Source organism: Homo sapiens, chromosome 13 (genome assembly GCF_000001405.40).
Source record: "Homo sapiens chromosome 13, GRCh38.p14 Primary Assembly".
NCBI classification, from domain to species: domain Eukaryota; kingdom Metazoa; phylum Chordata; class Mammalia; order Primates; family Hominidae; genus Homo; species Homo sapiens.
The window spans coordinates 99442209-99455388 of record NC_000013.11 but is presented as its reverse complement, the minus strand read 5'-3'; the positions used below and the strand labels follow the sequence as shown (position 1 = coordinate 99455388).

The 13180-nt window shown below is 43.0% G+C and overlaps 2 annotated features.

Annotated features, from left to right (window-relative positions):
- Window positions 480-774: a silencer, noted in NCBI's record as "tiled region #5830; HepG2 Repressive non-DNase unmatched - State 22:ReprW". NCBI's record gives its function as "represses a minimal TATA promoter and a strong SV40 promoter by Sharpr-MPRA in HepG2 cells {active_cell/tissue: HepG2}" and the evidence as "EXISTENCE:reporter gene assay evidence [ECO:0000049][PMID:27701403]".
- Window positions 1521-2020: an enhancer, noted in NCBI's record as "H3K4me1 hESC enhancer chr13:100105623-100106122 (GRCh37/hg19 assembly coordinates)". NCBI's record gives its function as "activates a minimal SCP1, AML or CMV promoter by ChIP-STARR-seq in naive H9 embryonic stem cells {active_cell/tissue: H9 hESC(naive)}" and the evidence as "EXISTENCE:reporter gene assay evidence [ECO:0000049][PMID:30033119]".

Genomic DNA, 13180 nt, shown 5'->3' with positions numbered 1-13180 from the left:
TGGTTAAAAGCCTTATTGAAAAATAATTTACATGCCATAAAATTCACTCATTTTAAGTGTACAATTCAATGATCTTTACTACATTTACAGAGCTGCACAGCCATCACCACAATCCTATTTGAGAACATTCTCATCACCTTAAAAGATCCCTCATGTCCATTTGCAGTTTATTTCCCCCAGAAGAAACTACTTGCATTGGAATCCTTTTCTTGGGGTCTGATTCTGAGGGAACCCAAAAGAAGACACTCCCTGCCACGGTGTGCAATACATACTGAGCCTAACGTGGACGCCCATTCCGCTCCAACCTAGATCTGCCACGCTCATCAATCATCCCCGACACATCAAAACCAGCTGCTATCATTAAAAAACAGATAATAACAAGTGTTGGTGAAGATGCAGGGAAATAGGAACCCTCATAGCCCATCAGTGGGATTGTAAAGTGGTGCAGCTGGTATGGAAACCAACCTGGCGGGTCCTGAGAAGGTTAACACAGAGTCATCACGTGACTCCACCACTCTACTGCATGGTAGATACCCAAGAGAACATATGTTCACACAAAAACTTCCAGACATCTCTTCCTAGCAGCATTATTCATAACGGCCCCAAAGTGAAAACAACTAAAAGTCCATCAACAGATAAACAGATAAAACAGAGAGGACTTCCTTATTTTGCTGACTCAGGTTGACCCCAATCTGATGTTTTTTGGAACTCTGCTCCATCTCAAAGTTTGGTTTGATTAGGTGGAACTTAGCACAAGTGACTCTATCCTGGTTTGGTCTGGTCTACTGGGGGCTACCTAGTGTAGGAGGCAAGTCCAAAACAGTGGACTCCCATAAACTTTTTTTTTTTTTTTTGAGACAGAGTCTCACTTTGTTGATCAGGCTGGAGGGCAGTGGCATGATCTTGGTTCACTGCAACTTTAACCTCTTGGGGCTCAAGCAATCCTCCCACCTCAGCCTCCGGAGTAGCTGGGACTACAAGCACATGCCACCATGCCCAGCTAATTCTTGTATTTTTTATAGCAATGGGGTTTTACCATGTTGCCCAGGCTGGTCTTGAACTCCTGGCCTCAAGCGATCCTCCTGCCTTGGCCTGCCGAAGTACAGGGATTATAGGCGTGAGCCACTGCCCCCAGCCTTTATATACCATTTTAACGAAGGGAAATAGACTGTGGAGAGGCGACTCAACAAAGGAGAAAGGGAGGCAGGGTTTGGGCTTCTAGGGGTGGAAAATTGTGGAAAGGTGACTAGGAAACATATGGTGAATAAGGTTTGTTTTGCAGATAAAAACCATTTGGAGTTAGTCTCCTCATGGTATGAGAGACATCAGAAGAGGGGGATACTTTACAAATGGAATTTTATGTCACCTTTACAAAGGGAAATTTATGGCCTACTTGGAAACAGCAGAAGGAAAGAGAGTTCCTTTGGTGTCTGCTGTTTCTTAATTGCCCTCAACTCGAAATAATCTTATGCCACAGTGGCATATTTTGGAGGTGGCATATTCTGATCCCCTCCAAAAGACTGGAATGGAGCAACAAGAGGAGCTGAATCCACTTGCCAATCCACTTGCTAATCCATAGAAGCCAGGTAGTTCAATCAATTGAAAAAAAAACACACGATTCCAGATCGCTTTCTTTGTGCACTTAATTAGTAACCCTGCATGGTAAGCAAGGCACTGTCTGGCAAGGACAGTCACAGGCAAGATGCCCATCCACTGTCAACATGATGATGCCATGTTAGGACTAATATTTTCATGAGCTCAGAAATGGGTGAGGGTGAGGGGTCCCAAATTAGAGTGCATGGCCTTCTGGTGAGTCTCAAGAATTGGAGGTGTGAAAAGAATGTGTTTTTTTATTATTGAGCAGAGCGCTAGGGCTTGAAACTGGGAGCCAGTGGTGTGGCTCTGCTGGTCAGAGAGTTTTCCCTGAGCAGCCTGCTGGGAGTGAAATTGAGTAGGAGCCGCTGCACTGGTCAATTTGCCTCCCAGCAGGCCCAGGGCTGCAGACCTAAAGCCAGCCTGAGCCAGGGAGACTGAACCTGGACCAGGGCAGGAGGAGGAGCGTGGGCTGCGCTGCACGGCTGGGGCTTTCTTTGTTGCAAGATGCATTGATTCTTAGCAAACTGCTTCGCTTGTCTCTGGAGTCTGAAGCTTTTTTTCCAGAACCCAGAACCTTGATTTTTAGTGATCTCACAACAGGCCTGGGCCACAGCAGGATGGTTTCTGTATGATCTAAGTCTTGGAAGCAGGAAATAAAAAGGGAGAAAAATATTGCAGCACACACCTTCAGTGGTAGAAAAAAAAATGTGTATTCCGATGAAAAACTATGCATCATCTCTAACCCACTCTTATGCCTTGTCAGAGTAGGATTTTTTTCCTTCTGATTCTGAGTCATATTCTGAGCTATTTTACAACTCTGCAAACTACAGATAACAGAAAACAGCCATGTGAATTCTGTCCTGTCTGATAGAGGTCTGGCTGACTCCCCTCTCCAACCTGTTAAAAAGAAACAGTTTTTAGGCCGGGCGCAGTGGCTCACGCCTGTAATCCCAGCATTTTGGGAGGCGGAGACAGGCAGATCATGAGGTCAGGAGATCGAGACCATCCTGGCTAACAGGGTGAAACCCCTCTCTACTAAACATACAAAAAATTAGCCAGGCGTGGTGGCGGGTGCCTGTAGTCCCAGCTATTTGGGAGGCTGAGACAGGAGAACGGCGTGAACTTGGGAGGCAGAGCTTGCAGTGAGCCGAGATTGCACCACTGCACTCCAGCCTGGGCGACAGAGCGAGACTCCATCTCAAAAAAAAAACAAAACAAAAACAACAACAACAAAAAAACAGTTTTGCCTCGCTCACAATTCAACAGTTCCTTTACACCCATATTAACTTGTGCTTCTTGACTTCTTTTTTGAGCCCATTGTAAAATCTGCCTGAATTCCTCATCAAAGGAGCAAATAAAACACTTAACATGTGTGTGTTGTAATATATGAATGAGACTCTTGATTTTATCTTTTCCTGAAAATTATCTTTAAACAGCCCCACTCTGCTTCTTTCTATGTCTTTCTAAGATCATGAGGTCACATAGTCTGGGTAGGTCTCCAAAGGGGAAAGTGTGTATTTTGGGGGAGCAGGAATGAATGGGGACTCACATTGACTAGATACTTAACTGTCTACTGATGACTTTATAAACACAATTTAATTTTCTCTTTTCTTTCTTCTTTCTTTCTCTTCTTTTCTTTCTTTCCTTTCTTTCTGTATTAGTCCATTTTCATGCTGCTGATAAAGACATACCTGAGGCTGGGAAGAAAAAGAGGTTTAATTGGACTCACAGTTCCACATGGCTGGGGAGGCCTCACAATCACGGCAGGAGGCGAAAGGCACTTCTTACATGGCGGCAGCAAGAGAAAAATGAGAAAGATGCAAAAGTGGAAACCCCTGATAAACCCATCAGATCTCATGAGACTTATTCACTACCATGAGAACAGTATGGGGGAAACCACCCCCATGATTCAATTATCTCCCACCGGGAGATCCTTCTCACAATACGTGGGAATTAGGGAGTACAATTCAAGATGAGATTTGGATGGGTACATACAGCCAAGCCATATCACTTCCTCCCTTCCTCCCTTCCTCCCTCCCTCCCTCCCTCCCTGCCTCCTTCCCTCTCTCTCTCCCTCTCTTTCTTTCTTTTTCTTTTTTTTTTTTTTTTTAGAGATGAGGTCTTGCTTTGTCACCTAGGCTGAAGTACAACGGCACGATCATTGCTCACTGCAGCCTCGACCTCCTGGGCTCAAGCAATCCTCCCACCTCAGTCTCTCAAATAGCTGGGACTACAGGTGCATGCCACTATGCCCAGCTTGAATTTGATTTTTAAAACAACCACATGCAACAGCAATTGCTACACCATTTTATCGAGTAGGAAACTGATGTTCAGAGTTAATTTCAGAGACAAGTATTTTGTGGGGTAAGTATTATTTCAGTGACAAGCATTACGCAGAGATAATGTTCAGAAAGAAGTAATTTGCCCAATGCAGAGGCAGAAAAGGTATGATATCTTTCCTCAGCTATCATAAGGGCCATAGTTGAAACTCCTATAATGAAAGAGGGAGTTAACAAGGGAAAAGCTTAACAGATTAATTTAATCAAAATTTTATGTGATACAGGAGCTTTCAGAAACGAAGACCCAAAGACCCAAGGAAAACTGTTTTTATGCCTCTGTTCAATGAAGAATGGACAGCCATGTAAAAATGCGATTGGACAGAAGAGTGATCGAATTGTAATAGACTGACAGCAGAAACCCAGCAAGGCTTGTCTGTTCAGATGCTTCTTGGCCTCTCTGTAGCAGTCCTTCCTCCTGGGTATGGGGCAGCACCTCTGGAATGAGGGTCCTCCAGGGAGGAGGGAAGAGAGAGAAGGGAAAGCGTGGCCTCCTAGGCTTTATGGCTCGCTCTAGGAGAGAGGAGTTTGAATTTCTATGATCTGCCTTAGGGAAGAGGAATTCTGGTTTCCATGACTTGTTTCAGGGGAGAATGAGGGATAGGAGACAGGAAGATGGAAGAAGGTCTTAGAGCAACTTTGCTTCTGAGGCTTTCACAATCTCCTTTAGTTCAAGGTACTCAGCATGCCAAGGCACCAGATTTAGAAGCATCATTTTCTGAGCCCCAGTATTCCCCTGTCTGAAACTTCTTGGGAAAAGTCCAGAAATGGGGTTGGTGGATTGTCCCACAGGCCACTGAACCAGTCTCTCAGTTCCACAAATAGTTCAGTTCAGTTAAACACTTAACAGCTGTGTCTCATTTTAGGAGGTGGTTTTGCAGATGGGCTTCCACCTCTATGTGGTTACAGCAATCAAGCATTTAAGAAGAGGCATTTCTATGAAAACAAAGAAAAACAAAGATTTGTGATTAGAACAAACTATAAACTCAGTTTTTGAGTCCAGAGGGCAGCCAGTTAAGGGGATTTTTAGATGTTAGGCTCAAAGCATCTTCAGCTGGAGTAAGACCAGTCAGTGGGAATCTGACAGATTTTCCTGGTCTGCAGTTGGCATCAGGTGTCTTAGTGAACTTTCCGAGTAGTTCATACAGTAACACCGTGAGGCTGTCCATAAATAAGCTATTGAGGCGCTTTCCCTGAAGTTTACAACAAGTGGCCCAACTTCAGCTCACAGGGATCCAGAAACAGAGTGGTCTTAATTTCAGTAATTCCAAGCCAGGGGATGGGAGGAAAATTGGAACATTTGTTTGGAGAGTTGTAGTCAGATATTGGAGGAAACTAAAAAATTTAGGATTCAGTCTAGATTTTAGGTAGATGATGAACCCACAAAAACAATGAGGTAGAGTCTAATAATGAGTGCAGTATAGTCTCTTCCACAACAATTTTTCTCTCTAGAGTCACTCCCATTTCTACCAAAGATAATCAAAGGAAGACTGATTTGTTTGTAAAATAGGTTTAGTCTCATGAAAGTTGGCCTGATTATTTACATAGGTGCAGTGAGAATAGTGATGGGCCACGTAAAATTTGCTTTGCTGGAACTTTTCATAAGAAATCTAAAGCTGGACCTCCCAAGGTTAGGAAGCCAAAGTAAGGACTTACCAACAGACTATGTCTATAACACTTATAGATTTGGGTGAATTCTTCTCTTCTCGATGGCCCCAAAATATCGTGAGGTTCCTGAGCCATCCAAGAAGTGACAATCCTTACTCACCTGTAAGGCTGGGAACCCTCAGGCCATTTTTACCAAGGGCATCTTTATTAGCTCCGTAAAGTCAACCTTAGTTCCTTAAAGCTACCTGGTCATATCTGAAAATATGACATTCCAGTCAAAGCCTTGGTAATATAACCAGGGTTTCCAATTGTATCCTGTTACAAGGAGAACACAGTCTAATTGAAGTTAGGCAAATAACTATATTACCATACAAATAAGAATACTCACAAATAGCTACTACATTCTGGAGGGATGAGGTAGGGAGAAAAAGTAAATGCCTCCATTTTTGTTCATAAAAATATACTTCACCAAATTGATGTAAGCTATAGGTAGCTTAAAAGAAAAAAGTTTTTTTGGCCAGGAGTGGTGGCTCACACCTGTAATCCCAGCACTTTGAGAGGCCAAGGCGGGTGGATCACTTGAGGTCAGGAGTTCAAGACCAACCTGGACAACATGGGGAAAACCCGTCTCTACTAAAAATACAAAAATTATTTAGGCATGGTGGCGCTCGCCTGTAGTCCCAGCTACTTGGGAGGCTGAGGCAGGAGAATCATTTGAACCCGGGAGGCGGAGGTTGCAGCGAGCCGAGATCACGCCACTGCACTCCAGCCTGGATGACAGAGTGACTCCATCTCAAAAAAAAAAAAAAAAAAAAAAGAATCAGCAATGTTCCAAATAAAAAGTCATTAAAAAATTATCCTCATAGGTTCATTTAGTCTCACATAATTAATTCTTGTTCTGGTTGATGTTAGGATAGCAGTTTCATAAAGCTATCAGTTTCTTCATTAGAGTTCTAGAAATTCTTATCCAATCTCATGGTGTGATCTTAAAGAGATTCGAAACTTGTATTCAAGAGTACTCATTAGTCTTTTCTATGAATCTCCATGAAGAGACGCAATTTGACATGGTAGCTGATTGTAAATGCTTTTAGAGAAGAATCAAAACAATAACTAGATGACAAAGACTTGAAATAGCGATGGTTAGAATTCTGATGAAAGTTCTGATGAAGTTTCTGATGAAAGTTCAGAAATTAGCAAGGAAATGTGGTTATTTTTGTGGCATATAGCATTTAACATAGTAACTAAAATTATGACCGATAGCATTAGATTTCTAGGACTCGCATACAATTTTTGGAACACTCATGTGAATAACATACCCATACATATAACTTGAAGTTTTAGCAACACCTATTCTTTGACAATATTTCCCATATAATTCAACTCATCAAAAAAGCCTAGTCATTTCAGTATTTCTCTTTTACAAAGTAAGAGACCCCTTTGAACTTTTCAAGGACCCAGTTGGAAAATCCCAGAGTTAATTAGCGGTCATAAAGACTTAATTTAGACTTTGATTTTGGGAAATCTGCCAAAAATGCCAGAAGGTTTAAAACACTTGATTAAATGTGATCTTGGTTATCTATTTAATTAAAGTGACAATAAAAGATTTTAAAGACATACAGAAAGTTCCATAGTTGTGAACAAAAATTTAGCTCTTTTAATTGAGAAGACTAACTTAAAAATTTTTTTTAATTTTATTTTAATTAATTTATTTATTTTGAGACCAGGTTATGAGACTGACTAATTTTTGTATTTTTGGTAGAGATGGGATTTTGCCATATTGCCCAGGCTGGTCTCGAACTTCTGGCCTCAAGTGATCCACCCACCTTGGCCTCCCAAAATGCTGGGAATACAAGCATGAGCCACTGTGCCTGGCCTCACTTTTTTAAGTAATCAAAGACCTAATAAAAGACAGCATAAGCACAAGAAATTATCTTTATAAAGCACAAAATCTGTTTCCTAGGCCAATTACTTTAAAAGGAAAAAAAAACCCCTTCATACATTCTCAGATCAATACCTCAAAAAAACTTTATCATGTCAACAGAGAAGAGTAAATTCCACTTTCTTTTCTTTTTTTTTTTTTTGAGATGGAGTCTTGCACTGTTGCCCAGGCTGGAGTGCAGTGGTGAGATCTCTGCTCACTGCAACCTCCACCTCCCAGGTTCAAGCGATTCTCCTGCCTCAGCCTCCCAAGTAGCTGGGATTACAGGCACCTGCCACCAGTCCTGGCTAATTTTTTGTAATTTTAGTAGAGACGGGTTTTCACTATGTTGGCCAGGCTGGTCTTGAACTCCTGACCTCGTGATCCTACCGCCTAGGCCTCCCAAAGTGCTGGGATTACAGGCGTGAGCCACCGCGCCCGGCCTTTTGAAACTATTTTGAAGTAGACATATATTATTATGAGACATATATTATAGGCTGGGCATGGTGGCTTATGCCTATAATCCCAGCACTCTGGGGAGCTGAGACAGGAGGATTGCTTGAGCCCAGGTTTGAGACTAGCTTGGGCAACATAGTGAGACCCTGTCTCTACAAAAAACTTAAAAATTAGCCAGGCATGGTGGTGCCTGCCTTTAGTCCCAGCTACTCAGGAGGCTGACGCAGGAGGATTACTTGAGCCCAGGAGCTCAAAGCTTGCAGTGAGCTATAGCTATGATCAGGCTACTGCCCTCCAGCCTGAGTGACAGTGTGAGAACCCTGTCTCAAAAAAAAAAAAAAAAAAAAAAAGAAGACGTATATTATAATTATTATTGAAAAATTCTTGTACAAACTTTTATCTCACATCTTATTCAATTCACTTATTAACAATTATTCTTGAACAGTTCATGAATATTTTAGGAGATATTAAACAAAGCTAGTCACTATCTTAAGTATTTTTCTTGTTGACATATCAGGCAAGCATCCAAAATATCACAAAAGCAAAAAAACTAAAAACTAAACATGGTTCTTCCCTCTCCTTTTTTTTTCCTGATGACAACCATCTCCCTGAAGTTTGTATTTTCAAAAGATAACTACTAAATTCTAGAGAAGACGGGTGGGAAATTTATGTCTCAAGGGCACAGGGAAAGCCTCTTAACCAGAGGTCAATCTCACGGAGGCTGTGGACCAGATTTTAGGCTGGTGACTGAGCAGACATCTAAGGGCTGTCTGAATGTTTCCAAAGACCCATGTGAATGAACAAGACATTCATTTCTGAGAAAACTTACATTTCCCTCTAATTTGGTCTTAAGGCTCTCTGGAGAGTGGCTATAAACTCGACTTCACTACAGAATTTTGCAAGGAAGTCCGCAAAGAAGCCCGGGAGAAGGTTCTGAATCTTAACTAAAGTTTAGCCGTAGAGACCAGAATCCTTCTTACCTTTTTACCTCCGATGTTTCCTTTCAGCAATTTTCTATCCACTGACCACCAGGTGGAGGTGGGGGCTCAAAGTGGAACGTATTTAAAGGTACAAGGGAGCTGCATAGAAGCTCAAAGTGGACAAAGGGAGGAAGAGCGGAAGCAAAGGAAAGAAGAGGTCTTCCAGGAGCCAATTTGGGGCGATCTCACATTTCCCGAAAAGACTAATGAAGTTCTATATTATCCTTAGGAAAAATCACACCAAGAAGAAAGGAAGCGGCTGAGGGCCCGAGATGTAATTATCAGTGGTTCGAAAAGAGATTCTCAGTCAACTGAGAAGTTCCCATGGGAGAAGCAGGATCCCAAAGAGAGAACAAGAGCAGAGAGGCCTGAAAAAAAGCACAGCGTCAATATCATCTTCCAGTCAAGCCGACTTCTGACCATAGAGCACTTAAAAAAAACAAACAAAAAAAAAAAACAAAAAAAACCTAGCCGGGTGCAGTGGCTGACTCCTATAATCCCAGCACTTTGGGAGGCTGAGGTGGGTGGATCACTTGAGGTCAGGAGTTCGAGACCAGCCTGGCCAACATGGTGAAACCCTGTCTGTACTAAAAATAGCCAGGTGTGGTGGCGCACACCTGTAATCCATCCTACTAGGGAGACTGAGGCAGGAGAATTGCTTGAACCTGGGAGGCAGAGGTTGCAGTGAGCTGCAATCTCACCATTGCACTCCAGCCTGGGCAAAAAGAGTGAAACTCCGTCTCCAAAAAAAAAAAAAAAAAATCCTTTGAAATATTGCACTATCAGATTTTAGCCAGGACAAACAGCAAATATTCCTGGCAGTATTGTACTTTTCCGCCTTTTTAAAAAAGAAAGAAAACCAAAGGTATCTACCAAGTGACTTGGAATCGAAACCAATAAGCCTTTTATGACTTAACCAAGGATGCGTGGAGTCTCTCTAAAGAAGCGCAAAGACACAGCCCTCCCAAAGACAGCCAGAAGAAGAGGGACAGGTAACTCCCAGAGCCGGCAGCAGCTGGCACGCTAGCTGCATACGGGGTCCCACCCGCGTTTCTGTTAGGCTCTCTTCTTGGTGTTTCTGTAAAACAAAGACCATCTCTGAGAGGGAAGGGATCATAAAACAAGAGTTCTCATGCCAAGAAAAAATCACCAGAGTCACAATCCCCAAAAACTAGTTCATACAAATAATTTTCTCCTGCTAATCTGAATTTGCGAAGGAAGGAATAAAGAGAAAATTTTACCTTCCATTCTCAACCGGGCACTGCAAGCAGAGATCTGGGAGAGCTGGCCTTGGTTAAAAAAACTTTTAAAGAGTCTTAGATTTTCCTTGCCGGCATTCTGTCAATTGTCCCAGCATGGCGTCTGCAGGCTCTGCGGTGGAGTCAGGTGTCTCAGGCACCCCAGGGTTGGTGGCAGAAACGGTAGGGATGGAAAAGTGTGATCCCTTTTTCCCCATCATAAGGATCACAGACAACACGGCTCTAACAAGGCAGGTTACCCAGAGAAAAGCATAACAACTTCATTATGCACGTATTTATTTTTTTAATTTATTATTATTATTATTATTATTATTATTATTTGAGACGGAGTCTTGCTCTGTCTCCCAGGCTGGAGTGCAGTGGCACGATCTCGGCTCACTGCAAGCTCCGCCTCCCGGGTTCACGCCATTCTCCTGCCTCAGCCTCCCGAGTAGCTGGGACTACAGGCGCCCGCCACCACGCCTGGCTAGTTTTTTTGTATTTTTAGTAGAGACGGGGTTTCACCGTGTTAGCCAGGATGGTCTCGATTTCCTGACCCTGTGATCCTCCCGCCTAGGCCTCCCAAAGTGCTGGGATTACAGGCGTGAGCCACTGCGCCCGGCCTGTATTTATTGTTTAAAAAAGTAGAGATGGTGTTTCGCCCATGTTGCCCAGGCTGGTCTTGAACTCCTGGGCTCAAGCGATCCACCTGCCTTGGCCTCCCAAAGTGCTGGGATTACAGGTGTGAGCCACTGTGCCCGGCCACAAGTTTATGTAATCAAAGTTTTACGTGACACAGAGCCTTCAGCAAGGAAGTTCTAAGACCAGGGAATACTGTTTTGATGCTTAAATTCAATGAAGAGTGAACAGCCATGCAGAAATGGGAGTGGACGAAAGGGTGTGATCTAACGGCGAGAGACTGCGTGCGGAACCCAGCAGGGTCTGTCTTCCAGATACTTCTCGGCCTCTCTGTGCAACATTCCTTCCTCCTGGGTGTGGGCAGAACCTCTCTGGAATGAGGGTCTTCCAGAGAGAAGGGAGAGCGATCTTTCTAGCTTCCACGGCTTGCTTTTTATTTTTAGGAGAGGAGCTCTAGTTTCTATGGCTGCCTTGGGGAAGAGGAACTCTGGTTTCTAGGGCTTGTCTGGGGGTGATGGGGGCGGGTGGCAGGTCAGGAAGGCAGGAGAAGGTCAGAGAGACGTTGCTTCTGAGGCTTCTTCTGAGGCCTTCCAATCTGCTTTAGCTCACGGTTCTCGGCCTGCCAAAGCGCCATACTTTGGCGCATCGTTTTCTGAGCCCCAACACCAATATCATTTAGGATTTACATTAGGATTTGAAGTCGTATCCATTAAAACCAAAATTATGCCATCCAGTTCGGTGAGGAGGGAGCCCTGCTCTATGTAGAGTTTCGGGGTTTGGGGACGATTTCTCCCCTATATCCTGACCGCAGGGATAGCCGGGGGCTGGGACGCACTTCTGCGATGCTTAGGAAACTTTGCTGTTAATTCAGAGGCCTCGCCCAGCATGCTGAATGCCAGAATTAGGTGGGGCTCCCCCTAGGAGTGCCTGGTCCTCCTTCTCCAATCTTGTTCTTCCAGACAGAAAGCTGCGAATTTGCTGTCTCTGGAGGGCCGTGGGTTCTGGGATAGATGATGGGAGAAAGAGAAGGGGAAAAAAATGTCCTGCCTTCGAACTGGCCTCCAGGTCAAAATCGCTGCATACCATAAGCAGGTGAATAGCTCAGCAAGTCAGTTCTTTGGGATAACTGAGCAAATATCAAAGCCATCAGACTCTCAGAAAACGCTATTTGAAAGGTTTTGTTTTGTTTTTTTTTGTTTTAAAAGAAAAAAAGGGCTGCAGTACATTGCATACACTAAGGGCGTCTCTGGAGAATGTTCTATTTGGGCTCGACAGGAACCTAGAAGGTCCTTCTCTCCTGCAGGGCACCCACACTGCCATCATCACTATGGATGCACACTAGTGCGTATTTTGTGTACATCTGTAACATGCTCAGGCTATTCTTTTATTATTATTATTATTTTATTTATTTATTTATTTTTTGAGACAGAGTTTCACTCTTGTCGCCCAGACTGGAGTGCAATGGCGCCATCTTGGCTCACTGCAACCTCTGCCTCCCAGGTTCAAGCGATTCTCCCGTCTCAGCCTCCCAAGTAGCTGGGATTACAGGCGCCCGCCAGCATGACCGACTAATTTTTGTATTTTTAGTAGAGACGGGGTTTCACCATATTGGCCAGGCTGGTCTCCGACTCCTGACCTCAAATGATCCATCCGCCTTGGCCTCCCAAAGTGCTGGGATTACAAGCGTGAGCCACCGCGACCGGTCTATTCTTTATTTTAATTTCCATTTTATGCTCGTTTCGTATTTTCATTAAGACGTGGGAATTACAAAGTAGTTCCAGCTATGGGCTACAGTTTAAAAATAACTTCAACACCAACTGTTCATGTCAGCATTTTTTAATGGTATGAAAAAAGATATAAATGTATTTATTACCACTGAATTGCACACTTAAAAGTGGTAAAGACGGTAAATTATGTATGTATATTTTACCTCGATAAAAAAAAAATAAGGAAAAAATGGTATGGAAAATTTAAGTTAACAAACAAATAGGAAGGCAGGCCTGAAAGTATTTCCATATTCTGATCACATAATATTCTAAAGACAATATGAATTTAAAGCACATTTCTGTATCTGCAATATAGGGAAATACAGTAAAATGATCAGTGTTAATTTCTGGGAAACTTTGCCTAGGTGCTCTAGTGCCCTCTTCTGGATATGTTGGAGTACTGCATCTCAGGCCGAACTTAATGGAACCCCTTTGGCATTCTGGTGAAGCCTGCAGACCTCCTCCCGGAATTATGCTTTAAAATGCATAAGATAAAGAGAATCATAAGGAAAATCATTATATTGAATAAAGTTATGAAAATATCAAAATATTTAAAAACAAATTTATAAGTTATTTATTACCCAATTAAGTTAAAATATTTCGCTTTGGGTCTAATAACCACTATAATTTCAAAGTAGTGATG